Consider the following 26,191-nt stretch of genomic DNA (forward strand, 5'->3'; position numbering starts at 1 on the left):
TTGGTATTGCAATTTCTGTTGGTTCTCAAGAGATGTTCAGTGTGCCTACTGCTTATGTCAGAATTCCGATTTTGCCTATATCACTTGGTGTACTACATGAAGCCATTTTAAGAAGATAGACTTAAAAGCTCTTCATGTGAGTTTTTTTTGAGTAATGTGGATAGCATATAGAACTTAAGCGTTTGCATGTAAAAATCTTGCAATGTGCAAACTATAAATATTTGCAAGTTTTGCATTTGTTTTTATTATAAAATGTAACCAAATTATAAAAAGCGTAGAAAACAAAAGAAATCACCTGTAATTCCTGTACTACAACAAAACTACTCATCTTGGCATTTTTTCTTTTCTTTACCTATGTAATTTATACAGTTATAATCATCTTGTATATAGTGTTCATTTCATCCTCTTTTTCTTAGTGCTTTAGGTATAATATTTACCCATATTTAGGCATTTGCTGGATATCTATAAGGCGCTTGTCATATATCCTCAATCTCTTGTAATAATCCTGTAAAAGAGTGAAGATTATCTTCATCTTCCAAGTAGAGACCTGAGATTGAATAAGGAAAAACTAGATCACTACCTAGGAAGTAGAACTGGGATTTGTTTTGCCCCAAGGCTCTTTTTGTTTTTAGGCCATGCTATATCTTCATACTTATTTAAAATTGCTAACTGGCCGGGTGTGGTGGTTTACACCTGTAAACCACCTAGGATCACTTGAACCTAGAAGTTGGAGACCAGCATGGGCAAGCAATAATAAAAAGAAATTAGCCAGGTGTGGTGGCGTGCACCTGTGGTCCTAGCTACCTGGGAGGCTGAGGTGGAAGGATCCCCTGAGCCCAGGAAGTTGAGGCTGCAGTGAACTAGGATCATATTACTGCACCCTAGTGTGGGCAACAGAGTGAGACCCTGTCTCCAAAAAACTAATAATAATAAAATTGCTAACTGTGTTTTAGTATCTGCTGATGCCTGTAGTCAGTCCCCTTTGTGGACATATAAAGAGAACATAATTAGTTGGAACGTAAGTATGTAAGCACTCAGTTTTAATTTTCCCATCACAAGTCTCAAAATGGAATGAATTAGATCTACTCTACATGACCTCCATGACCATTTGCTGAAGGTTGTAAAAGTTGCTGCTAATTACAGGCAGCAGGAATAAGGAAGAGTGTAAACAGTTCTGGATAATGCACAGCGACAGGTTATCATAAGTAGGACCGTTTTAGTCTACCCCACTGTCATGTTATACATGAACTGCAGGGTTACCTCACTTTGGTGGCAGAGCTAGAATTAGAACCTAGACAAGTTCTTGGCTAATTCAAAGTTTTAGTTATGGCAAAAGTTACTTTAGTTGAGGTCGGTGGGCCTGCACAGTGGTGAGGAGAGGGGAAGTACGGTGGACCTGGACGTGAGAGCTTCAGTATATAAATGCCAAAAAATGGTAACTGATTTAAAACAACTTTTGAGTCACCTTGAAAGTTTAAAAAATACATTGATAACCTAGGTTCTACTTACAGACTTAACTGAATTAGAAATTTTATTTAATAAGCTCCCTAGGTATTTCTTGTAGGATTAGAAATGATTGAAGAGAAGTTTTTCAGTTAGTACAAAAAGTACCCTCTGAGAGTTCTTACTTTGAGATTCTTGTTCTCCCTTACCTACTGAATGAGCATCTTTGGAGGTGAGGCCTTGGAATCTGCATTTTATCAGCTCTACAAGTGATTCTCCTGTATTTTAAATTTGGGTGTATAAAGTTGATATTGGTAGAGCATGAATTATGGATTTTGTGGTCTTGATAATAAATATATAGGTACTGGAAAGACCTGGAGCTCTGGAGGAAGAGTTGGTTTCATATCTGCCGCTGTCACCAATATTGAAGATGGAAAATCCTCTGAGCCTAAATATCTTTAAAACTTAGGGAACATACCTAATTGGGTTAATAGGAAGATTTAGATATACAATCATGCATCCCTTAGCGATGGGGATATGTTCTGAGAAATGCATTGTCAGGTGATTTTGTCCTGCAAACATAGTGTACTTACACAAACCTAGATGGTAGAGCCTACTACACAACTTAGGCTATATGGTATAATCTGTTGTTCCTAGGATACCAACCTGTACAGCATGTTACCGTACTGAATAGTATAGGCACTTGTAATGCAATGATAAGTATTTGTGTATCTAAACACAGAAAATGTACATTAAAACACAGTATAAAAGATAAGGGGACTGGGTACGGTGGTGCACGCCTGTAATCCCAGCACTTTGGGAGGCTGAGGCGGGTGGATTACGTGAGGCCAGGAGTTGGAGACTGGCCTGACCAACATGGTGAAACCCCATCTCTACTAAAAATACAAAACCTAGCCGGGCGTGGTGGTGCACACCTGTAATCCCAGCTACTGGGGAGGCTGAGACACGAGAATTGCTTGAACCCGGGAGGCGGAGGTTGCAGTGAGCTGAGATTGAGCCACTGTGCTCCAGCGTGGGCAACAGAGCGAGACTCTTGTCTTTAAAAAAAGAAAAACAAAAACTTACATTTTTAACATCTTTTTAAAAACTATGGCAAACACATTAGCCTAGACCTACACAGGCTCAGGATCATCAGTATCAGTGTCTTAACCACCACATCTTGTTCGATTGGAAAGTCTTCAGAAGCAGTAACACACAGCTGTCATCTCCTAAAATAGTACCTTCTTCTGGAATACCTCCTGAAGGACCTATCAGAGGCAGTTTTACAATTAGCCTTTCTTTTAATAAGTAGTACATTCTAAAATAATGATTAAAAGTATAGTATAGTAAATATATAAGCCAATAACATAGTAGGTTGTGTGTGTGTGTGTGTGTGTGTGTGTGTGTGTGTGTGTGTGTGACGGAGTCTTGCTGTGTCGCCCAGGCTGGAGTGCAGTGGCGCTATCTTGGCTCACTGCAAGCTCCACGTCCCAGGTTCACACCATTCTCCTGCCTTAGCCTCCAGAGTAGCTGGGACTACAGGCGCCCGCCACCAAACCTGGCTAATTTCTTGTATTTTTAGTAGAGACGGGGTTTCACCGTGTTAGCCAGGATGGTCTGAAATCTCCTGACTTTGTGATCCACCTGCCTCGGCCTCCCATGGATTACAGTCGTGAGCCACCACACCTGGCTTTTTTTTTGAGACAGAATCTCACTCTGTTGCCCGGGCTGGAGTACAGTGGTGTGATTTTGGCTGCTTACTGCAGCCTCCACCTCCCAGGTTCAAACGATTCTCCTCCCTCAGCCTCCCAAGTAGCTGGGACTACAGCCGCGTGCCACTACACCCAGCTGATTTTGTATTTATGGTAGAGACAGGGTTTCACCATGTTGGCCATGCTGGTCTCAAACTCCTGATCTCAGGTGATCCGCCTGCCTCTGCCTCCCAAAGTGCTGGAATTACAGGTGTGAACCACTGCGCCTGGCCGAATTTGTTATTAAGTATTATTTATTATACATAATTTTACGTGCTATAGTTTTATACGACTTGCAGTGCGGTAGGTTTGTTTACACCGCATTACCACAAACAAGTGAGTAATGTTTTGTGCTACATCCTTACAGTGGCTTCGACATCGCTAGGTGATAGGAATTTGTCAGCTCCATTATAATCTTACTGATCTGTCATTGACTGAAATGTCATTATATCGTGCATGAGTGTGTGTGTGTGTGTGTGTGTGTATTTTTTTTTTTTTTTTTTTTTGAGAGAAGGCCTCACTTTGTCACCCAGGCTGGAGTGTAGTGGCCTGATCACAACTCATTGCAGCTTTGACCTCCTGGGCTTAAGCATACTTTTTCTTGCAGCCTTCTAAGTAGCTGGGACCACACAGGTGTTCGCCACTATGCCTGGCTAATTAAAAAAACTTTTTGGAGAGATAAGGTTTCACTGTGTTGCCCAGGCTGTTCTTGAATTCCTGGGCTTAAGTGATCCTCCTCCTTTGGCCTCTCAAATTGTTAGGATTCCAGGTGTGAGCCACCATGCCTGGCCTAATGTTTAAAAATTTCTGGCTGGTGCGGTGGCCCATGCCTGTAATCCCAGCACATAACGGAGGCCAAGGCAGGTGGATCACCTGAGGTTGGGAGTTCGAGACCATCCTGACCAACATGGAGAAACCCCGTCTCTACTAAAAATACAAAATTAGCTGGGCATGGTGGCGCACGCATGTAATCCCAGCTACTCAGGAGGCTGAGGCAGAAGAATCGCTTGAACCCGGGAAGTGGAGGTTGCGGTGAGCCGAGATTGCGCCATTGCATTCCAGGCAACAAGAGCGAAACTCTGTCTCAAATTCTAGTAGAGTCAGGTTCTCAGTATGTTGCCCAGGCTGGTCTCAAACTGCTGGTCCCAGCCTCCCAAAGTGCTGGGCTTGTAGGCAGGAGGTACCATGGCCAAAATAGATATTTTTAATAAAATATTATAGCCTTGCTTTAAATTGGAGAACTGATGAAAAATACTTTGTCTCTTTATCTGGGGGAAGTTAGCATCTTAATTATATATGACTTGATGTTTCATATATATATGACTTGAAGTCTAAAGTCAAGTCATTAGACTTATTTAACTTATTCACGGCATTGGAGACTATAAAGGTTGATTCTATTAAACCATATCAAGCAATGGAAGTAATTTTTGTGTCATCACATCACTTTTAAAAACACATTTTCCTAGCCGGGCGTGGTGGCTCACGCTTGTAATCCCAGCACTTTGGGAGGCTGAGGCGGGCGGATCACGAGGTCAGGAGATCGAGACCATCCTGGCTAACACGGTGAAACCCCGTCTCTACTAAAAATACAAAAAATTAGCCGGGCATGGTGGCGGGCACCTGTAGTCCCAGCTACTCGGGAGGCTGAGGCAGGAGAATGGCATGAACCCGGGAGGTGGAGCTTGCAGTGAGTGGAGATTGTGCCACGGCACTCCAGTCTGGGCAACAGAGCGAGACTCTGTCTCAAAGAATTTTAGAATGAGACTCCGTCTCAAAGAATGACTCCCGTCTAAGCATTTTATATTGTCAGCTGGGGTGCTGAACTTTGGGTTTCTTTCAAGGTTCATGGGGGCATAGGAAAAACTAGTTGAGAGCTATATAGATTTAATTTTGTGGGAGAGATAAACATTTACCAGATTTTAATGTTAATAAAATTATATCCAGGTGAATATGAATATGCCTCAGTTGTGTTTTATGGCCCACTTGAAAGTGAAGGGAGAGGGAGGGATAGAACAGTGCAGTAGTAAGTAGAAAGGTTATTAAGCTTAAATAGAGGGAAGCTAAATAGGCAGATTTACTGTTTTTGAATATTATATGAAGAGATTGCATATGTGCAGACTTTAACATTGCCACCTTATGGCTTTTTGTATATTTCCTCCAGAGACTGAATTTTCTATTTTATTTTATTTTATTTTTAATTTTTATTTTTGAGACAGAATCTAGCTCTGTTGGCTAGGCTGGAGTGCAGTGGCGCGATCTTGGCTCACCCGGGTTCAAGTGATTGATTCTCCTGCCTCAGCCTCCTGAATAGCTGGGACTACAGGCATGTGCCACCACGCTTGGCTAATTTTTGTATTTTTAGTAGAGATGGGGTTTCACAATGTTGGCCAGCCCTGTCTTGAGCTACTGACCTCAAGTGATCCACCTGCCTCGGCCTCCCAAAGTGCTGGCATTACAGGCATGAGCCACTGCACCCAGCCGAGTTTTCTATTTTGTAATCATAGATTTAAAGTGAGGAGGGCCTAAGGTGGATGGGTGGATAGAGATGTCGACATTATTTCTAGTTATTTAAGCCACAGACCAGATCTGTCTGGACTTGTAGTTTCCTAATTTATTCATAGTTAATATCTTTAATGTTTTTATTTGAGACAGAGTTTTGCTCTTTTGCCCAGGCTGGAGTGAAGTGGCGTGACCTTGGCTCGCTGCAACCTCTGCCCCCTGGGTTCAAACAATTCTCCTGCCTCAGCCTCCTGAGTAGCTGGGATTATAGGTGCCTGACACCAGGGCTGGCTAGTTTTTTATTTATTTTTAATTTTTATTTTTTATTGAGATGGAATCTCCCTCTGTTGCTCAGGCTGGAGTGCAGTGGTGCGATCTCAGCTCAGTGCAACCTCCACCACCCAGGTTCAAGCGATTCTCCTGCCTTAGCCTCCTGAATAGCTGGGACTACAGGTGTGTGCCACCATGCCCAACTAATTTTTTGTATTTTTAGCAGAGATGGGGTTTCACCATGTTAGCCAGGATGGTCTCGATCTCCTGACCTGGTGATCCGCCCACCTCAGCCTCCCAAAGTGCTGGGATCACAGGCGTAAGCCACTGTGCCCAGCCAATTTTTTTTTTTTTTGGGATTATGGGCGTGAGCCACTGAGCCTGGCCGACAATTTATAATTGTATATATTTATGGGGTACAAAGTAATCTTAATTTTTTCAAAGAACCAACTTTTGTTTTTTTTTTTCCTATTATATATACTTTAACTCATGCCAGCTCATATCTTTATTATTATTATTATTTTTTAAATTTATTTATTTTATTTTTTTTTGAGACGGGGTTTCTCTCTTGTTGCCAAGGCTGGAGTGCAGTGGTGTGATCTCGGCTCACTGCAACCTCCATCTCCCAGGTTCAAGCGATTTTCCTGCCTCAGCCTTCCTAGTAGCTGGGATTACAGGCATGTGCCACCACGCCCAGCTAATTTTGTATTTTTAGTAAGAGACGGGGGTTTCTCCATGTTGGTCAGGCTGGTCTCGAACTCCCGACCTCAGGTGATCCGCCCACCTCGGCCTCCCAAAGTGCTGGGATTACAGGCATGAGCCACTGTGCCCGGCCCAATTTTTTATTTTTATTTATTTTTATTTTTATTTTTTTGAGACGGAGTTTTGCTCTGTCACCCAGGCTGGAGTACAGTGGCGCGATCTCAGCTCACTGCATCCCCTGCCTCCTGGATTTAAGCAGTTCTCTGCCTCAGCCTCCCAAATGGCTGGGATTACAGGCGCCCACCACCACGCCCGGCTAATTTTTTTTTTGTTTTTTTTAGTAGTGGGGGTTTCACCATCTTGCCCAGGCTGATCTTGAACTCCTGACCTCGTGATCCACCCACCTCGGCCTCTCAAAGTGCTGGGATTACAGGCGTGAGCCATCGTGCCCGGCCCCAATTTTTTATTTTTAGTAGAGATGGGGTTTTGCCATGTTGGCCATGCTGGTCTTGAACTCCTGACCTCGTGATCCACCCACCTCGGCCTCCCAAAGTGCTGGGATTACAGGCGTGGGCCATCGTGCCTGGCCTCAATTTTTTATTTTTAGTAGAGATGGGGTTTTGCCATGTTGGCCATGCTGGTCTCGAACTCCTGACCTCAGGTGATCCCACCTTCCTCGGCCTCCTAGAGTGCTAGGATTACTCGGGTGATCCACCGTGCCAGGCCTTAATGTTTTTTTGTTTTTTGTTTTTTGTTTTTTTTTTAAGATGAGGTCTCGCTATGTTCTCTAGGCTGAAGTGCAGTGACTATTCACAGCTGTGATCATAGTTCATTACAGACTCAAATTCCTGGGCTCAGATGATCCTCTTGCTTCAGCCTCCCAAGTAGCTAGGACTGAACAAGGTGTAAGGCCCTCTGTTCCTGGTTTAAATTTATCTTCACCTGTTACCCAGGCTGGAGTGCAGTGGTGCAATCTCGGCTCACTGCATCCTCCTGCCTTCAGCCTCCCCAGCAGCTGGGACTATAGGTGTGTGCCAGCATGCTGGCTAATATTTGTATTTTTTTTGTAGAGACGGGGTTTTGCCACCTTGCCCAGGCTGGTCTCGAACTCTGGCCTTAAGTGATCCACCTGCCTCGGCCTCAAAGTACTGAGATTACAGACATGAGCCACCACACCCAGCCTGTAATTATATAAACATTAAAGTGTTATTAAGTGTTAAATATAACTTAGTGCACCTAACTTTTTTGCAGAAGAAATAAATTCATTTCTTCCCTTCCCCCCAGTTTTATGTTTTGAAATACATTTTTAAAAAAAGTTTTGAGAGACAGGGCCTCTGTCACCCAGGCTGCCAGGCTAGAATGTAGCGGTGGCATCATAGCTCACTGTAACCTCTAACTCCTGGGTTCAAGCTGTCCTCCCACCTCAGCCTTCCAAGTAGCTAATCCAAGTAGCTAGGATTACAGGCACGCACCACCACACCCAGCTAAGTTAAATTTGTTGTTGTTGTTGTTGTTGTAGAGACAGGGTCTCACTATGTTGCCCAAGGCTGGTCTTGAACTCCTGGCCTCAAGCACGTCCCCTGCCTCAGCCTTCTAAAGTGTGAGTGGCAGATGTGAGCTACCATGCTGGGCCTTGGAATAATTTCAGATTTACTCTTCCACATTTTGCCACATTTGCTTTATCATTTGAATGTTTTTAAAATGTGTATATATAATGTTTTCCTGAGCCAGAGAGTTACAGTCTAGACATCATGTCTTTTCTCCTAGGTATTTTAGTGTGTAGTTCCCAAGAACAAAGACATGCAGTTACATAACCACAGTGCATTTATCAAAATCAGGAAATTTAATTGACACAATGTTGTTACCCACAGATCTTATTCAGACTTTATCAGTTGTCTTAATGTCCTTGATAGCAATTTTTTTGTGGTCCAAGTTCTAGTCCACGAACATTTGGAGACCGTGGTTTCATGTCTCCTAAGTTGTTATTTGTTGTTTTCATTGTTTTGAGATAGGGTCTCATTCTGTTGCCTAGGCCAGAGTGCAGTGGCACGATCATGGCTCACTGCTGCCTTCATCTCCCCGGGCTTAAGTGATTTCCCAGGTTGCTGGGACTACAGGTGCATGCCACCACACCCAGATAATTTTGTGTGTGTGTATGTGTGTATGTATGTATTTGTAATGTAAGACAAGGGCTTTGCCAGGTTGCCCAGGCTGGTCTTGAACTCCTGTGCTCAAGCTATCTGCCAGCTTCCGCCTCCCAGAGTGCTGGGATTACAGGAGTGAGCTATTGCGCCCAGCCCTCCTAAGTCTGTCTTCACTGGTTTCAAGTCTGTCTTCACTGGTTTCAAGTGAGGTTGTATCCTTCTCAGTGCATCATACTGGGAGGTACAAGATGTCTGTTTATGCCATTACTGATAATGTTAACTTTGGTCACTTTGGGTAAAGTGTTGTCCACCAGGTTCTCCACTTAATTTTTTTTTTAATACGTGGGAAAATAGTTGACACTATGTAAATAACTTGTTTCTCATCAAACTGTCTCCTTTTAATTCTAGCATTGATAATTCTTGCTTGATTCAGGTATTACTATGATAGGTGTTTACTTACCATTAATATTACGTAATGCTCAAGTCACAGATTTGGCCAGTGGGAGGTCCTTCAAGAAGGAGCCTACTGATGCCCTGGCTTCCCACTCTGTTTCCAATCTATACTTTTCCTTCTCTTTTTTTTTTTTTAATGATGGGGTCTCATTTTGTCACCCAGGCTGGAGTACAGTGGTGTGATCAGGGCTCACTACAGCCTTGACCTCCTGTGCTTAAGCCATCCTCCCAGCTCACCCCCCAAGTAGCTGGGACCACAGGCACATGCCACCACCATGCCTAATTAAAAGATTTTTTTTTTTTTTTTTGTAGAGACAGTGTCTCCATATGTTGGCCAGGCTGGTCTTGAACTCCTGGCCTCAAGCAGTCTTATCTGCCTTGGCCTCCCAAAGTGTTGGGATTACAGGTGTGAGCCACCACTTCTGGCTGTTTTGGTATTGTTGTGTTAAAATTGAGAAAGTTTGACTTTTGAAGCAATATTGAACATAGGTATTTGTGAGACTTAAAATTGCACATTATAAAGAGGAACAAATTTGGTGTTTAAAGAATGAGACAGTGCTGTAGTAAATATAATTGCATGATGCTGTTTTGAATTTTTTCTTGACTATTTTAAATGCTATTAAGTATGCCAACTAACTTAAATATAAACATGTTTCTTAGGAAAAAGGACATCTATAGTCTAAGTTTCTAATTCAGTGTTACAATTTGGGACAAATAATTTATTGTCTGTATTTCTGGAGTTACATTAAGAGATAATAGGTGGAATTTCATTTTATTTATTTTTATTTTATTTATTTATTTATTTATTTTTTGAGATAGAGTCTCGCTTTGTCGCCCAGGCTGGAGTGCAGTGGCACGATCTCGGCTCACTGCAAGCTCCGCCTTCCGGGTTCACGCCATTCTCCTGCCTGAGCCTCCTGAGTAGCTGAGATTACAGGTGCCTACCACCACGCCTGGCTAATTTTTTGTATTTTTAGTAGAGATGGGGTTTCACCGTGTTAGCCGGGATGGTCTCGATCTCCTGACCTCGTGATCCGCCCGCCTCGGCCTCCCAAAGTGCTGGGACTACAGGCGCGTGCCACCACGCCAGCTAATTTTTGTATTTTTAGTAGAGACGGGGTTTCACCATGTTGGCCAGGATGTCTCACTCTCTTGACCTCATGATCCACCTGCCTTGGTAAAAATGTAAAATTTAAAAAATTCTGAGGCCGGGCGCGGTGGCTCACGCCTCTAATCCCAGCACTTTGGGAGGCTGAGTCGAGCAGATCACAAGGTCAGGAGTTCGAGACCAGCCTGGCCAACATGGTGAAACCCCGTCTCTACTAAAAATAGAAAAAATTAGCCAGGCATGGTGGCGGCGCCTGTAATCCCAGCTACTCAGGAGGCTGAGGCAGAATGGCTTGAACCCGGGAGGCCGAGGTTGCAGTGAGCGAAGATCGCGCCATTGTACTCTAGCCTGGGCTACAGAGCGAGACTCTGTCTCAAAAAGAAAAAAAAATTTTTTTTAAAATTCTGTGCATGAAGTAATGTGTGAAATGGAAGAATTTAGGATAAGTTTCTGAAAGACTCATAAACAGTGATTCTTAAGAAAATGAGCATTGGGATTTATTTCAGGGAAAACATAAGTATTGTAGTCAGATTACCACCTCCCTAGGGAAGGAGGCCAGATGTGTGGGTTTGTTTTTTTTTTTCTGTCTGTGGACTAAGGGCTTTCTATATGTCAGCTTATTAATTCTCCATAACCCTGTGAGATACTTACCTTCACTTTTCAGAAAAGGAAATTGAGGACTTATGAGTATGTCCAAGGCCTTGGGACTAGTTTGGGATTTGAATTTAGGTCAGTCTGACTCTAACACTCTAGTGTACTATGTATGTATGTATTCTGCTTTATCTGACCAGTCATGTATGTTTGGGTTACTTCCATTAGGCCCATATTTTTGGGGGGCCTGACAACTAAGTATTAATCTAAACAGTATAATAGGAAAGCATGTAATGAATTTTCAAGTCAAAAGTAATTTTGCATTAAGGTGTTTAAGTGTTTAAAACAAAGTAAAAGCCAGTTTTTCTTTGTGGGGAATGTTCTACTTAGAATAATTAATTTTCTAATAATTCTAAATAATTAAATTTCTGTTGAGTTATTCTGTGAAGTTTTTAAATTCATAAAGCATGTTCAGATAATTTTTAACCATTTCAATTTTTTTCTTACCTCTGTAGGAACGTCAAGGTCGTGGGAAATAAAAGGCAGTTCTACACAGACTGCAGCAACGGTTGCATCTGCATATCCTAAGAGGAAAAAATGACCTTCAAGAGAATTAGGACTTTTTTCTTAATTTCACTGACTTCAGAGACGATTGCAGACTTGCAGTTTAAGTATTGGAATTTCACAAAAGACATAGGACTTAACTGGAAAATGAAAAAAAAAAGAAAAAGAAAAAACTAAACAAAAAATCCCTCTAGGTAGTTTAGGTGAAAAATGTCCCTTTTATTTTGGCTTTGGTTGTGATTTCAGAGCATAATGCTATGTTTTTTTGTCTTTTTACTATGTTTTTCGGATTTTTAAGTCCGTAAGTGCATACAGTTTTCTCTAATTTTTAAACCCTTTCCTCCTCCCATTTTGACATTTGCACTTGGAGAACACTTGAGTTGTGAAGGTTTTGGGCATCCACCCCAGAAAGTGGGAATTTGATTTTATCCTTCCGAACTGGAAGAACATTTTTATGAAGAATTTTTGTCTAGGAGAATATAACAGTGTTACCCAAGGTTGTGTCTTTAAGGGTGGTTCATTTTCTCTGACCTTTTGTTACTCAAAGTAAAGTACTAGGAGTCCTAAGAAATGTTCTGTTCTTGTACATTATACTGATTAAGTCAGGATTAATTTGATTTCAAAGCTGAGAACAGTGGTAAAAACTCGTTTACAGAAATGCATTTTGGAAGAGAAAAATACTGTAAAACGTGTCGTGAATGTTTCTTCAGTTTCTTGTTCAGCCAATGAGGAAAGGGCATTGCCTTTCTTTTTACCATTAATCACTTCTCAATAAACGTGAGATCCTGTTGAGCATCACTTCTAGTACCATTTAGTATTATTTGAGTCTGCTGTGTTTTAAATATTTGGAGTATAAGGGGGTATAACAGGTGAGACGGCAACTAATTTTACAGAGTTTGTGCTAAGAGTAAACACTTCAGGCTTGCTTTGTACCCAGGGCTGGTTAACCATGACCTCTGCAAAAGCAAGGTGGGCTGATATTCATAATGCTTTATATCTGGATACTTTGCAGAGAATGTAGAGTCATTGCTAAATCATTTGTTCAACAGATATTAAGACTATTGGGTGCCTGGCACTATGCTTAACTCCATGGAATCTGGCCAGCTATCTTAGATGCAGAGGAAGTAGAGCCCAGGAAATAAGTGTTTAATTTGAAATATTGGTTTTAGACAATATTCCATATGGATGCAGATCCCTGACAATAAAATTTCTGTGGTCTTGGGTCTTTGGGAACCTTATAACAATTGTAATAGCATTTCATTTCTTCTTGTTTATTTTCAACAGTTTTAGAGGCTTCTCTATCTTAAAAGATTTTCAGCTCTTAAGATGTTCCCATTTTAGGCTGGTCACAGTGGCGCATGCCTGTAATCCCAGGACTTTGGGAGGCTGAGGCGGGTGGATTACTTGAGGTCAGGAGTTTGAGACCAGCCTGGCCGACATAGTGAAATCCTGTCTCTACAAAAATTAGCTGGAGGATGGTGGAGCATGCTTGTAATCCCAGCTACTTGGGAGGCTGAGGCAGGAGAATTGCTTGAACCCAGGAGGTGGAGGTTACAGTGAGCCAAGATTGTGCCACAGCACTCCAGCCTGGTGACAGAGCAAGACTCTGTCTCAAAAAAAAAAAAAGTTTCCATTTTTAGAGTTGCATGTGTGAAAACATCTAACATTTATACTAAGAAAGGGTTATGGAAATGGATTTTAATACTGTTGGACAGAGTCGTGCCCTCAAAATTACTGAGTTCTACACAGCCCAGGACAGTAAAGTCAGGAGTACCAATAAAATTATTAAATGCTGGTTTCTAAATAGCTAGCTAGCTTGCTTTTCTTTCTTCTCTTTCTCCTTCCTTCCTTTCTTCCTCTCTCTTTCCTTCCTTCCTTCCCTTTCCATTCCTTCCTTCCCTTCCCTTTCCTTTCCTCCCTTCCCTTTCCTTTCCTCCCTTCCCTTCCCTTCTTGCCTTCCCCCCTTCCCTTCCCTTCCCTTCTTCCCTTCCCCCCTTCCCTTGCCTGTCCTTCTTTCCCTTCCCTTTTCCTTTTCTCTTTCCTTTTCCTCTCTTTTCTTTTCTCCTTTCTTTTCCCCTCTTTTGTTTTTTCAAGGTCTCACTCTGTCTCCCTGGCTGGGGTGCAGTGGTGCACTCTCAGCTCACTGCAACCTCCACCTCCCGGGTTCAAGTGATTCTCCTGTCGCAGACTCCTGAGTAGCTGGGATTACAGGCGTGCGCCACTATGCCCGGATAATTTTTGTACTTTTAGTAGAGATGGGATTTCACCGTGTTGGCCAGGCTGGTTTCGAACTCACAACCTCAGGTGATCTGCCCACCTCGGCCTCCCCAAGTGCTGGGAATACAGGTGTGAGCCACTGTGCCCAGCCAATAGCACCATTATTGACATTTGCAGTCAAAAGCTTTTTTTGGCCTGTCAGAGGCACAGTACAATATTGCTAAATATTTCTGGCTGCCATCCTTTTTGAAGCACATTTACCTCAAATTTTGGGGGAGTTCCTTGTGTTTTTATCAGTAGGAAGGTGCTAGATTTCCTACTAATATGTATGGCACTCATCGTTTTCACTTTTAGCCCAAACTTCTGTGACTTGTAGAGGACTCCCTTGGGCTTCTTTAGTATTTGACCTTGAGAAGGGAAAATCCAGAGAAAAGCAAATTCAAAAGCAATTTTAACTAGATTTTCCTACATAGTATTTCAAGTTGGATATGAGATTATTCGAGATGATTATTTGCAATTTGAAATGTTAGCAACATAGTAGTTCCCAGTATTTTATAGCACACATAGAAAGTACTGTTTCAGCTTTTAAGAGTAGACTGAAAAGAATTTGGAGCCCCTAATAAGGTTGCATACTTAGCCTTCCCTTTTGGATTTGTGAATTTTAGAAAAACCACATTGGCTTTTCTTGTAGTATAAAAAATCAGACTGTTCTTTACTAAAGACTCCAAAATGCAGCTAAACCAGTTTTCTTATTGTTAAAGACAACTTTGCCGGTATTTTTAATAGAGACAGGGTTTCACCATGTTGGCCAAGCTGGTCTGGAACTCCTGACCTCAAGCGATCTGCCTGCCTCGGCCTCCCAAAGTGCTGGGGTTACAGGCGTGAGCCACCGTGCCCAGCCTGAGGCTGGTGCCTTGGGAGGCCGAGGCAGGCGGATCGCTTGAGGTCAGGAGTTTGAGACTAGTTTGGCCGACATGGTGAAACCCCGTCTCTACTAAATATACATAAATTAGCTGGGTGTGATGGTGTGCACCTGTAATCCTAACTAGTCAGGAGGCTGAGGCAGGAGAGTTGCTGGAACCTGTGAGGCAGAGGTTGCAGTGAGCTGAGACACCACTGCACTCCATCCTCAAAATAAATTTCACTTTCCCTCAATTTTATTTTAGCTGTATTTGATTGGTTATCTTCTCTTAGTGTGTTCCATTATATAAAACGTTCTGAAATAATTTTAGACTTAGGCAAATGTAGTATGGAGAGTTACCATACTCTTCACTCAGCTTTTCCCAAATGTTAACATCTTGTATAACCATAGTAAAATTATCAAGACTAGCAAATATTGATGCAGTACTATTAACTAATTTGAGTTGTGTGAGTTACACTGTGTCATCTTTTGGGGTTCAGCATCCAATCCAGGATCCCACATTGCATTTAATTGTCTTTAGTCTCTTCTAGCCTGTGACAGTTTTTCAGTTTCCATTTTTTGACACTTTTAGGGAGTACTGGCCAGTTACTTTATACAATGCCCTTCCAGTTGGATTTATCTGATCATTTCTCACTATTAGGTTGAGGTTATTCTTTGACAAGAATGCCACAAAAGCACCGTGCCTTTTTCAGTGCATTGTATCAGGATACATGATTGTCACATGATTTCATACTGGTGATGTTAACTCTGATCACTTGGTTACAGTGTTGCCAGACTTCTCCATTGGAAAGTTATTAATTTCCTCCTTTGTACTTAATATGTAACTTAGGGGATCGGATATACTTGGAAACTTTTTTCTTTTTGGAGACGGTCTTGCACTCTTCCCCAGTCTGGAGTGCAGTGGCACAATCATTCCTCACTGCAGCCTCAACCTTCCGGCCTCAAGCAATCCTCCCGGGTATCTGGGACTGCAGGCATGTGCCTCCGTGCTTGGCTTATTTTATTTTTAAATAGGGATGAAGTCTTGCTGTGTTTGCCAGGCTAGTCTCAAACTATCCTCCTGCCTCAGCCTCCCAAAGCGCTAGGATTACAGGTGTGAGCCAAGGCGCCCAGCTGAAACTATCATTCTTTGACCCACTAACTTTGGGCAGCTATGGATTGTTATTGCATGCAACAAGTGTTCCTGTGCCATTTGCCAAATGTTGCTTCACGATTTCTAGTCCTTCTACATTTATTAATTAGCACTCTATTGTAAGGAGGTGTCCCTTCTCTGTATTTATTCAGTATATCAGTATGGATTCACTTTTGCTCAAATTGTCTCAGCTTTGGCCATTAGGAGCTCCTTAAAATTGGCTCCTTTGTTTTCTTGACATGCTGTCATTATTTTTGGTGGTCTGGCTTTGTGGCTTATGCCTGTAACCCCAGCACTTTGGGAAGTTGAGGTGGGAGGATTCCTTGAACCTGGGAATTTGATACCAGCCTGTGCAACATATTGAGACCTGGTCTCTACAGAAAATAAGCCAGGTGTGGTATGCTCCTGTAGTCCCATCTGCTGGGGAGGCTGAGGTGGGAGGATGACTTGATCAGGGGAGGTTGAGGTTGCAGTGAGCTGCCTAACAGCAAGGCCCTGTCTCAGAAAAATTTTCTGGTGTCTGCCCTTCTGGTACTGTAAGATGTTCCCTGGGAATCTTGTATTTTCCCTGCCCCAATTCCACTTTTTTCCAAGAAATTCTGCTTCCTTTTATTGGAGAATGTTTCAGAATTATCGAGGTGTTTTTTCGTTTTGTTTTGTTTTTTGCTTTTAAGATACAGCGTCTCTTGCCCAGGCTGGAGTGCAGTGGCGCAGTCTCGGCTCACTGCAATCTCTGCCGCCTGGATTCAAGTGATTCTCCTGCCTCAGCCTGCTGAGCAGCTGGGATTACAGGTGCCTGCCACCGTGCCCGGCTAATTTTTGTAGTTTTAGTAGAGACAGGGTTTCACCTTGTTGGCCACGCTGTTCTCAAACTCCTGACCTCGTGGTCCAGCTGCCTTGGCATCCCAAAGTGCTGGGATTACAGGCGTGAGCCACCGTGCCCGGCCCTATTGAACTTTTTTTAAAGGCAATTCTTCAAATTGCAATGGATTATTAAACTGGGACTTATTACCAGGGTAAGTGGAGAATTATTGAGACTAATCAAAACACTTAACCACTTTATTTTGTCCTCACCTTTTAAAAAGCTACATGTGAATGAATCCTCTGGAATTAGAGGGCTTCCACTTGACAGTACTTCAGCTAGGGTATGGCTCAGTGCTCATGGGTTTACATCCTTTCACGATGTCTCTGTTAAGCCTTGTAAATAGAGACCCCAAAACGTTAGAAGTCCTACCTAGAATGTTTGAAGTCCTGGTTCCCACACCTTGGAGCTTTCTCTACCAGTGAGAAAGTAAATGCTCTTGTAATAAAAGTTTTCGGCCGGGGGCAATGGCTCACGCCTGTAATCCCAACACTTTGGGAGGCCAAGGCAGGTGGATCACCTGAGGCCAAGAGTTCGAGACCAGCCTGGCCGATATGGTGAAACCCCGTCTCTACTAATGTCTACTAATAATACAAAAATTAGCCGGGTGTGGTGGTGCACGCCTGTAATCCCAGCTACTCGGGAGGCTGAAGCAGGAGAATTGCTTGAACCCAGGAGGAGGTGGAGGTTGCAGTGAGCCGAGATCATGCCATTGCAGTCCAGCCTGGGCGACAAGAGTGAAACTCCGTCTCAAAACATACTAAAAAAATTAAGTTTTCGTTTTTCATTATGGAGCTAACATTGCACTTGATGTTACCACTTATTTGACTTTTATTTGAAAGTTGACTTGTGGCCTGCGTGTCATGAATGTTTTGAAAATGAGAGTGGAAGTAAAGGTGTCCCTAGGATTCAGATCTGTAAGTCCACTTGCAATCAATTTTTTCTGCTTTAGGAAGCAATGCCACTTTGTCATGAGCATCGCTCATCGCTAGTGGTTTCTGGGCAGCTGGTGCACCTCCTTACTACTGAGAAGCCTTTGGAACTGTGATGTTTAATTACAGCTGCCGGGTTTGCACGTGGGAAGCTGACATGGTGTGGTGAAAGCCAGCGGTCTTCAGCTAGTGGAGGGAATTACAGAAGGTCCCACGCCCTTTAGGGCCCTTGGCTCCGGGTTTCCGGGACAGGCTCTGGAGCTCCGCCTGCGGGGGCCGGGCTTGGCGGCTGGACGGCGCGTGCGCCGTGCCTGCGGATGGAGGAGGGCCACCTTCTGCCCGGCTGTAGCCAGGTTCCCTCCATGCTTCCCCACCCCGTCGCAGCCTGGTTTTTGTACGCCTTCTCTCTGACGGCGGTTGTGCCACCTTGAGCTGCGGCTCAAGATGGTGTCCGCCCTTGCTTCTGCGCCTGTGCGGAAGCGCCCGGCCCTCACCTGCGCAGGTGAGCTGGGTCGTCTGAGAGGGAAATGGGGTTTCACACCACCCTGCTAACCAGGCAAAGATGACATTCGTGTCATGTGTAGCTTATTGCTTTCTTCGGCCTCTTCAATAATGCTCAGACATGAGGCTTGGTAAAGGTTGGAAAGCTGTTAGCCGACCTGCGGGCCGTGGGTTCATGTACTCGAAAAAGTTGAGGTGCCTCTGAAGGGCAGCTCCCCGAGGAAACTCCCAATTTTGCTGCCCTCTCCAGGTGTGCGTGTGAGTGTACTCATCTGTTGTTTCCATGTGTTAGTTAACCTGTATTTTGTGAGCTCCTGTCGCTACTATTGTTGGGCATTGGGGAAAAGAGAAATAAATGAAGATTCTTGTTTTCTCAGCATCCTGTTTAAGGAATATACCATCTTATATTTGGCGAGCTCCATAAGAGCAGAGCTACCCAGAAAACTGCCCCTATCTATATTGGCGTTTTTTCCCTAGCTTTTCTTTATCTCTGGAAACCACAGGAGCCCTTCGCCTCTTCATCGTCCTCCACAGCTCAGCTCTCTCTCATAGGCTGTCTGTGCCATCCTTCAAGAGGTCTGTGATACTGGGCAGGTCAGAGAATTGCTCTGTGCACGCATTTTCTCGTCCGAAAAAGGAAATTGCCTCTGAAGCCACTTGATGGTATGAGTTTTACAGGGATTTAAATTGACGTTACTGGTGCTTTTTTTTTTTTTTTAAATGGAATCTTACTCCATCTCCCAGGCTGGAGTGCTATCTCCCAGGCTGGAGTGCAGTGGCACGATCTTGGCTCACTGCAACCTCTGCCTCCAGGGTTGAAGCGATTCTCCTGCTTCAGCCTCCCAAGTAGCTGGGATTACGGGAGCCCGTCACCATGCCTGGCCAATTGTATTTTCAGTAGAGACGGGGTTTCACCTTGTTGGTAAGGCTGGTCTCTAACTCTTGACCTCAGGTGATCCGGCCACCTCCGCCTCCCAAAATGCTGGGATTACAGGCGTGAGCCACCGCGCCGGGCCCCAGTAGTGCTGTTCTAATTTAAAACAAACAAACAGCTAACACAGTTCAGACAGTTACACATGCAGAATAAAAAGTGTGTACAGGCCGGGCGCAGTCCATCCTGGCTAACACGGTGAAACCCTGTCTCTACTAAAAATACAAAAAATGAGCCGGGCGTGGTGACGCGTGCTTGTAATCCCAGCTACTCGGGAGGCTGAGGGAGGAGAATCACTTGAACCTGGGAGGCGGAGGTTGCAGTGAGCGGAGATCGCACCACTGCACTCCAGCCTGTGCGACAGAGTGAAATTCCGTCTCAAAAAAAAAAAAAAAAAAAAGGACCACTAACGTCAATTTAAATCCCTGTAAAACTCATACCATCAAGTGGCTTCAGAGGCAATTTCCTTTTTTGGATGAGAAAATGCGTGCACAGAGCAATTCTCTGACCTGCCCAATATCACGCAGCTCGTGAAGGATGCCGCAGACAGCCTATGAGAGCAAGATTCCGTCTCAAACAACAACAAAAATCTTGGTATAATATTTGGCTAGGCCGGGCGCAGTGGCTCATGCCTGTAATCCTAGCACTTTGGGAGGCCGAGGCGGGCGGATTATGAGGTCAGGAGATCGAGACCATCCTGGCTAACATGGTGAAACCCCGTCTCTACCAAAAATACAAAAAATTAGCCGGCGTTGTGGCGGGCGCCTGTAGTACCCGCTACTCGGGAGGCTGAGGCAGGAGAATGGAGTGAACCCGGGAGGCGGAGGTTGCAGTGAGTGGAGATCGCACCACTGCACTCCAGCCTGGGCGACAGATCAAGACTCCGTCTCAAAAATAAATAAATAAATAAAAATAAATAAAAAACATTTCGCTAATCTATCCTTATAAACCTTTTTAAAAAAACACTTGCTTTATAACATATAAAATCAGTATATGGGCCAGGCCCGGTGGCTCATGCTTGTAATCCCAGCACTTTGGGAGGCTAAGGCTGGAGGATTACTTGAGGTCAGGAGTTTGAAACCAGCCTGGCCAACGTGGCGAAACCCTGTCTATACTAAAAATACAAAAATCATCCCGGTGTGGTGGTGCACACTTGTAGTCCCAGCTACTGGGGAGGCTGAGGTAGGAGAATCACCTGAGTCTGGGAAGGTCAAGGCTGCAGTGAGCCATGATTGTGCCACTGCACTCCAGCCTGGGTGACAGAGTAAGACCTTGTCTCAAAAAGTAAAATCAGTATATGTAGCATGTTTGTGTTCCTAAATATACACGTCTACACAATTTTAAAAAAAATGAAATAATACCAAACCATCTTCATGGTTCCCCAACCCCTCTCAAGTTGTGATTCCGTAAGTTTACTGGTTTGCTAAAGGACCCAGCACTTCTGTGACAACCTCAAATGGCCATTCTGGGATCCTCTTCTGGGATCCTGAGGTGAGGGGTGCCCCAAGGACCTGGGTCTCAGACATCAATCGCAACTTGGCAGAAGCCCATCCTTCTCATCTTACTCTTTAGCATTGGAACTCAAACCTTTCTAGGTTTCTGCTTTCTTGAAGCCACTCAGTCGACAAGTTAGGCACTCAGTTTTTAGATGGGTGTTATTCCAGATCAAGGCATTTTGATGCGGACCTACAGGATGTGTCCTGGATATGTGGTTGAAGAGTAAGCTGACCAGGATTGCATAAGGAGGACAGTGTGGAGGAGAGCACAGGAGCCACAGCAGGTATCAAAAAGCTCCTGCCTTAGAGGGAAACATTTGTCAGATGGTGATGAGTGCTATAAAGAAACATGGGTATGAGGCTGGAGGGAAGAGCCAGCTAACAGAAGTCCAGAGAGGTGAGAGATGAAGGCAAGTTGGGTAAGGCTTTGAGAAGAAAGCACCCACTTTTAAGAAAAGTTAATTTCTTTCTCCCTCACCATGCCTCGTCTATCTCTCTTTACTTAGCTTCAATTCCATGGTTCACCATAATCCCCCTTCCTAATTAGTATTCACCATCAACTCCCTGGCCCCTTTCTCTTGCTTCATCAAATTTAATTGACAACCACAACCCTATTTACATCCAACTCTCCACCTACCTGCACCTGTACAGTTTAGAGTGGCTGGAGAAAAATCATTCAACCGGTGTCTCATTTTTAATTCACAAGCATCAGCCTCAGGAGGAAAATCAGCTTTTCTCTCATTGATTCCTTCTACTCTCTCTCTTTTTTTTTTTTGAGACGGAGTCTCGCTCTGTCGCCAAGTCTGGAGTGCAGTGGCACAATCTCGGCTCACTGCAAGCTCCGCCTCCCAGGTTCACGCCATTCTTCTGCCTCAGCCTCCCGAGTAGCTGGGACTACAGGTGCCCGCCACTACGCCCGGCTAATTTTTTGTATTTTTAGTAGAGACGGGGTTTCACTGTGTTAGCCAGGATGGTCTCGATCTCCTGATCTCGTGATCCGCCTGCCTTGGTCTCCCAAAGTGCTGGGATTACAGGCGTGAGCCACTGTGCCTGGCCAGATTCCTTCTACTCTCAAGAGAACCATTTCATACCTTCTCCCTTTCCTCAGGTCTCCAACACCTCCTCTCCCATCTTTACTTCCAGTTCAACTAGACAGGAAAATTGAAGCAATCAGAACAAAACGTCACAGACTCCATTACATCTACCCCCGTCACAGATGCTGCCTTCCCACCTGTTACAGATCAGTATCTCATGAAGCCTGGTCTTGGCCAGCAGCGTCAGCACCATTGGAGAACTTGTCAGAAATGCAAGTTATTGGGCCCCAACTCCTGAATCAGAAATCTTGCATCTGTGTTTTAACAAGTTCTCTCTAGAGTTTGAGAACCAATGTCTTTGGACTACACATGGTTCTGTCTAGAACAAATCCCTCCATTTGTGCATCAAATCTCAGTCTCTCAGCAACTCAAGAAGATGGCTTGGTCGGGTTTGGTGGCTCACAGCTGTAATCCCAGCATTTTGGGAGGCCAGGTGGGAAGATCACTTGAGCCTAGGAGCTCGAGACCAGACTGGACAACATAGTGAGATCTCATCTCTACATAAAATAAAAAACCAGGTGTGGTGGTACTGTAGTCCCAGCTACTCCAGAAGCTGAGGCAGAAGGATTGCTTTAGCCCAGGAGGTCAAGGCTACAGTGAGCCATGTTCATGCCACTGCACTCCAGCCTGGGAGACAGAGTAAGACACTGTCTCAAATAAACAAACAAACAAACAAAAAAAGCAGAAAAGATGGCTTCATCAAATCTCTTTTTCTCCCACATTATAATTTTACCTCTAATGGATCATTTCCATTAACATACAAACATGCTGTTGTTTCTCCTATTTCTTTTTTTTCTTTCTATGCTTTTTTTTTCTTTTTTTCTTTCTTCTTTTTGTTTTTGAGACAGAGTCTTGCTCTGTCACTCAGGTTGGAGTACAGTGGCGCAATCATGACTTACAGCAGCTTCCACTTCCCAGACTCAGGCGATCTTCACACCTCAGCCTCCTGAGTAGCTGGGACCACAGGCATGCACCACCACACTGGGCTTATTTTTATTTTTTGTAGAGACAGGATCTCTGTATGTTTCCCAGGCTGGTTTCGAACACCTGGGCTCAAGTAATCCTCCCACCTCGGCTTCCCCAAGTGTTGAGATTACAGACATGAGCCACCGTGCTCGGCCTGTTTCTCCTATTTCTTCCACCAGTTATTACTGCCCATTTCTCTCTTCCTTTTTGCAGCAAAACCCCAGAGAGGAAGCTGTTGCTCACTGGCTCCATTTCTGTCCTTCCATTTTCTCTTACCCACTCCAGTTCAGGCTCTCTTCTTCATTCCAGCAGAACTGCTCCTGGCAAGGCCACTATTCCACATTGCTAATTCTCAGTCCTCATCTTCTCTGATCTATAAGCAACCTGTGACATTGTTGATGCTTTTCTCCTTCCTTCCCTTGGATTCTGGCACAGCATGCCTCTTGATTTTCCTCCTGTTTCACTGGTTGTTCCTTTTTAGTCTCCTTGGCCCGGTTCCTCCTCAGTTCTTTGTCTTTGATCTCAGGGCTTAGTCCTTGACCTTCTGTCCACACTCACCAGATTTCGTCCAGGCCTGTGGCTTTAGTCACTACCCATGTGCCAACAACCCCCAAATACAGAGAGCCCAGAGATGTCTCCTGAACTCGTATATTCAACTGTCAACCCAGGCTTTCCCCTGGATGTTGGCAACATCTCAAACCCAACACTTTTTTTTTTTTTTTGAGACAGAGTCTCCCTCTGTCACCCAGGCTGGAGTGCAGTGGCACGATCTTGGCTCACTGCAACCCACCTCCTGGGTTCAAGCAATTCTCCTGCCTCATCCTCCTGAGTAGCTGGGATTACAGGTGCCCACCACTGTGCCCAGCTAATTTTTGTATTTTTAGTAGAGACAAGGTTTCACCATGTTGGCCAGGCTGGTCTTGAACTCCTGACCTCAGGTGGTCTGCCCGCCTCGACCTCCCAAAGTACTGGGATTACAGGCGTGAGCCACTGTGCCTGGCCTCAAACCCAACACTTTTAAACACAAACCTTGTCCTTCCTCATCTGCTCCATCTCATTAATAATGAACACATCCTTCCAGTTTCTCAGACCAAATCCTGGGAGTAATGTTTGGCTCCCTTTGTCACATCCTACATCAGATTAGTCAGTTATATTTTCTTGGTGACCATGTCTCACTGTAGCAGGACAAGCCGCAGACAAAACCCCTCAGACACCGAGTTAAAGAAGGAAGGGCTTTATTCAGCCGGGAGCTTCGACAAGACTCACATCTCCAACAACTGAGCTCCCCGAGTGAGCAATTCCTGACCCTTTTAAGGGCTCACAACTCTAAGGGGGTCCACGTGAGAGGGTCGTGATCCAATGAGCAAGCAAGGGGTATGTGACTGGGGGCTGTATGCACCGGTAATCAGATCTGAACGGAACAGGACAGGGATTTTCACAGTGCTTTTCCATACAATGTCTGGAATCTATAGATAACATAACCGATTAGGTCAGGGGTCAGATTAGGTCAGGGGTCGATCTTAACTGCCAGGCCCAGGGCACGGCGCCGGGCTGTCTGCTTGTGGATTTCATTTCTGCCTTGTAGTTTTTACTTCTTCTTTCTTTGGAGGCAGAAATTGGGTATAAGACGATATGAGGGGTGGTCTCCTCCCTTATCACCATATCCATCCTGGGCCAAGTCACCATCCTCTCATCTGGACGATTGCAGTAATCTCCTGGCTAGTTTCTATTTCCACCTTTGCTTCCTCCAGTCTGTTCTCCACACAGCAGCAGAGGGATCCCATAAAATGTGCACCAAATCACGTCGCTTCTCAGCTCACCCTCTCATGGCCCCCATCTCACTTAGAGTAAACGCTAAACCCTTCAACGGCCGACAAAGCCTTGACCATCTGAGGCCCATCTCCAGTCTCTCCTTACCTCCCGCTGTTCCTGTCTGCTCCACTCACTGTGGCCTCCAGACATGCAGGCTCCTGCTAGAGGATCTTCTTCCCAGCTGCCCCTTCCCCCAGAATACTCTTCCCTCATATATCTGCAAGGCCCACTTACTTCTTCACCTCCTTCAGGTTTTACAGCAGGGACGACCTAATCAGTGAGGTCTCCCGAATATCCTCTCTACACTCACCATCCCCATCCCCCACATTGCCTGTCCCCTTTGCTCCAGGCTGGCCACAGGGTGTGGTATATCTGAGATTCCACCCACCCCAGATCTGTGTCTTTCTACCCTGAGGCAGGGAGTCAAGAAAGCCAACAGAAAGCTGCCCAACAACAACAAAAAGGAATATGTCAGTAATTATTGGCGCATAGAATTTCAAGATTACAGTTTCTACTCAAATTCCAACTCCTTCTGCTTCACTAAAGTGAAAGAACACTGATGTGGGAGTCAGAAACGTTGGATTCTAGGCCAGGATCCACCACTACAGAGCTCTGACCTGTGACAAGCAAGTCGTTAGGCTTGGCCTGTTTGGGAAGTGAGGGACCTGGGCTGCATGATCTGTGAGATTAACCCACTCCCATCAGCATGTCTTGTGAGCTCCACTTCCAAAATAAATCCCCACATCGCCAGTGTTTCTCCACCCCCATTGCTGTCACCCTACCCATGCCATGGCATCAGCCTCCTTCCCAGGTTCAAGCGATTCTCCTGCCTCAGCCTCCTGAGTAGCTGGGATTTTTTTTTTTTTTTTGAGATGGAGTTTCGCTCTTGTAGCCCAGGCTGGAGTGCAGTGGCGCAATCTTGGCTCACTGCAACCTCCGCCTCCTGAGTTCGTCATTCTCCTGCCTCAGCCTCCCAAGTAGCTGGGACCACAAGCACCCACCACCACACCCGGCTAATTTTTTGTATTTTTTTAGTAGAGACGGGGTTTCACCATGTTAGCCAGGATGGTCTCGATCTCCTGACCTTGTGATCCGCCTGCCTCGGCCTCCCAAAGTGCTGGGATTACAGGCATGAGCCACCACATCCGGCCCTGTAACATTATTTTAAATCATGTAATACTCATACAATGGATACTATACAACTGAACAAAAGGTAAGAATCCATGTATTGATATAAAATGCTTTCTGGCCGGGTGCAGTGGCTCACGCCTGTAATCTCAGCACTTTGGGAGGCCGAGGCAGGCGGATCACAAGGTCAGGAGATCGAGATCATCCTGGCTAACACGGTGAAACCCCGTCTCTACTAAAAAAATACAAAAAATTAGCCGGGTGTGGTGGTGGGCGCTTGTGGTCCCAGCTACTTGGGAGGCTGAGGCAGGAGAATGGCGTGAACCCAGGAGGTGGAGCTTGCAGTGAGTCGAGGTTGCGCCACTGCACTCCAGCTTGGGCGTCAGAGTGAGACTCCATTTCAAAAAAAAAAAAAAAATGCTTTCTAAGATATATTGGTAAGTGGAAAAAACCCAAAGTACAGCACAGAGTGTATAAAATACCACCATTTGTATAACAAGAATGAGGGAGAGAATACATTTGCTTGTACATGTATATGTTATATCTGGATGGCTACAGGGGAAACTGATAACATTGCTTGCCCTATGGGGGCGCACTAGGCGGCTGGGGTAAGAGTGGGGAGCTTTTCATTGTGCATCCTTTTGCATTCTGGATCACATTATGTACCACCTAT

General features: G+C 44.6%; 1 protein-coding gene across 3 annotated transcripts in view, besides 2 other annotated features; it reads left to right on the forward strand.

The window, feature by feature from the left end:
- Nucleotides 1–12,323, forward strand: part of YTHDF2 (YTH N6-methyladenosine RNA binding protein F2) — a 33,152-nt gene extending 20,829 nt beyond the window's left edge. For all 3 annotated transcript variants that reach the window (NM_001173128.2, NM_016258.3, NM_001172828.2), the window contains one exon: nt 11,477–12,323. In NM_001173128.2, the coding sequence (NP_001166599.1) occupies nt 11,477–11,500 (24 nt within the window). In that variant the 3' untranslated portion in view covers nt 11,501–12,323. The remainder of the gene's footprint in view (nt 1–11,476) is intronic.
- Nucleotides 5,295–5,796: an enhancer, noted in NCBI's record as "H3K27ac hESC enhancer chr1:29089259-29089760 (GRCh37/hg19 assembly coordinates)". NCBI's record gives its function as "activates a minimal SCP1, AML or CMV promoter by ChIP-STARR-seq in primed H9 embryonic stem cells {active_cell/tissue: H9 hESC(primed)}" and the evidence as "EXISTENCE:reporter gene assay evidence [ECO:0000049][PMID:30033119]".
- Nucleotides 17,705–17,999: an enhancer, noted in NCBI's record as "tiled region #15715; HepG2 Activating non-DNase unmatched - State 18:Pol2, and K562 Activating non-DNase unmatched - State 18:Pol2". NCBI's record gives its function as "activates a minimal TATA promoter and a strong SV40 promoter by Sharpr-MPRA in HepG2 and K562 cells {active_cell/tissue: HepG2 | K562}" and the evidence as "EXISTENCE:reporter gene assay evidence [ECO:0000049][PMID:27701403]".

Source organism: Homo sapiens, chromosome 1, assembly GCF_000001405.40.
Source record: "Homo sapiens chromosome 1, GRCh38.p14 Primary Assembly".
NCBI classification, from domain to species: Eukaryota; Metazoa; Chordata; class Mammalia; order Primates; family Hominidae; genus Homo; species Homo sapiens.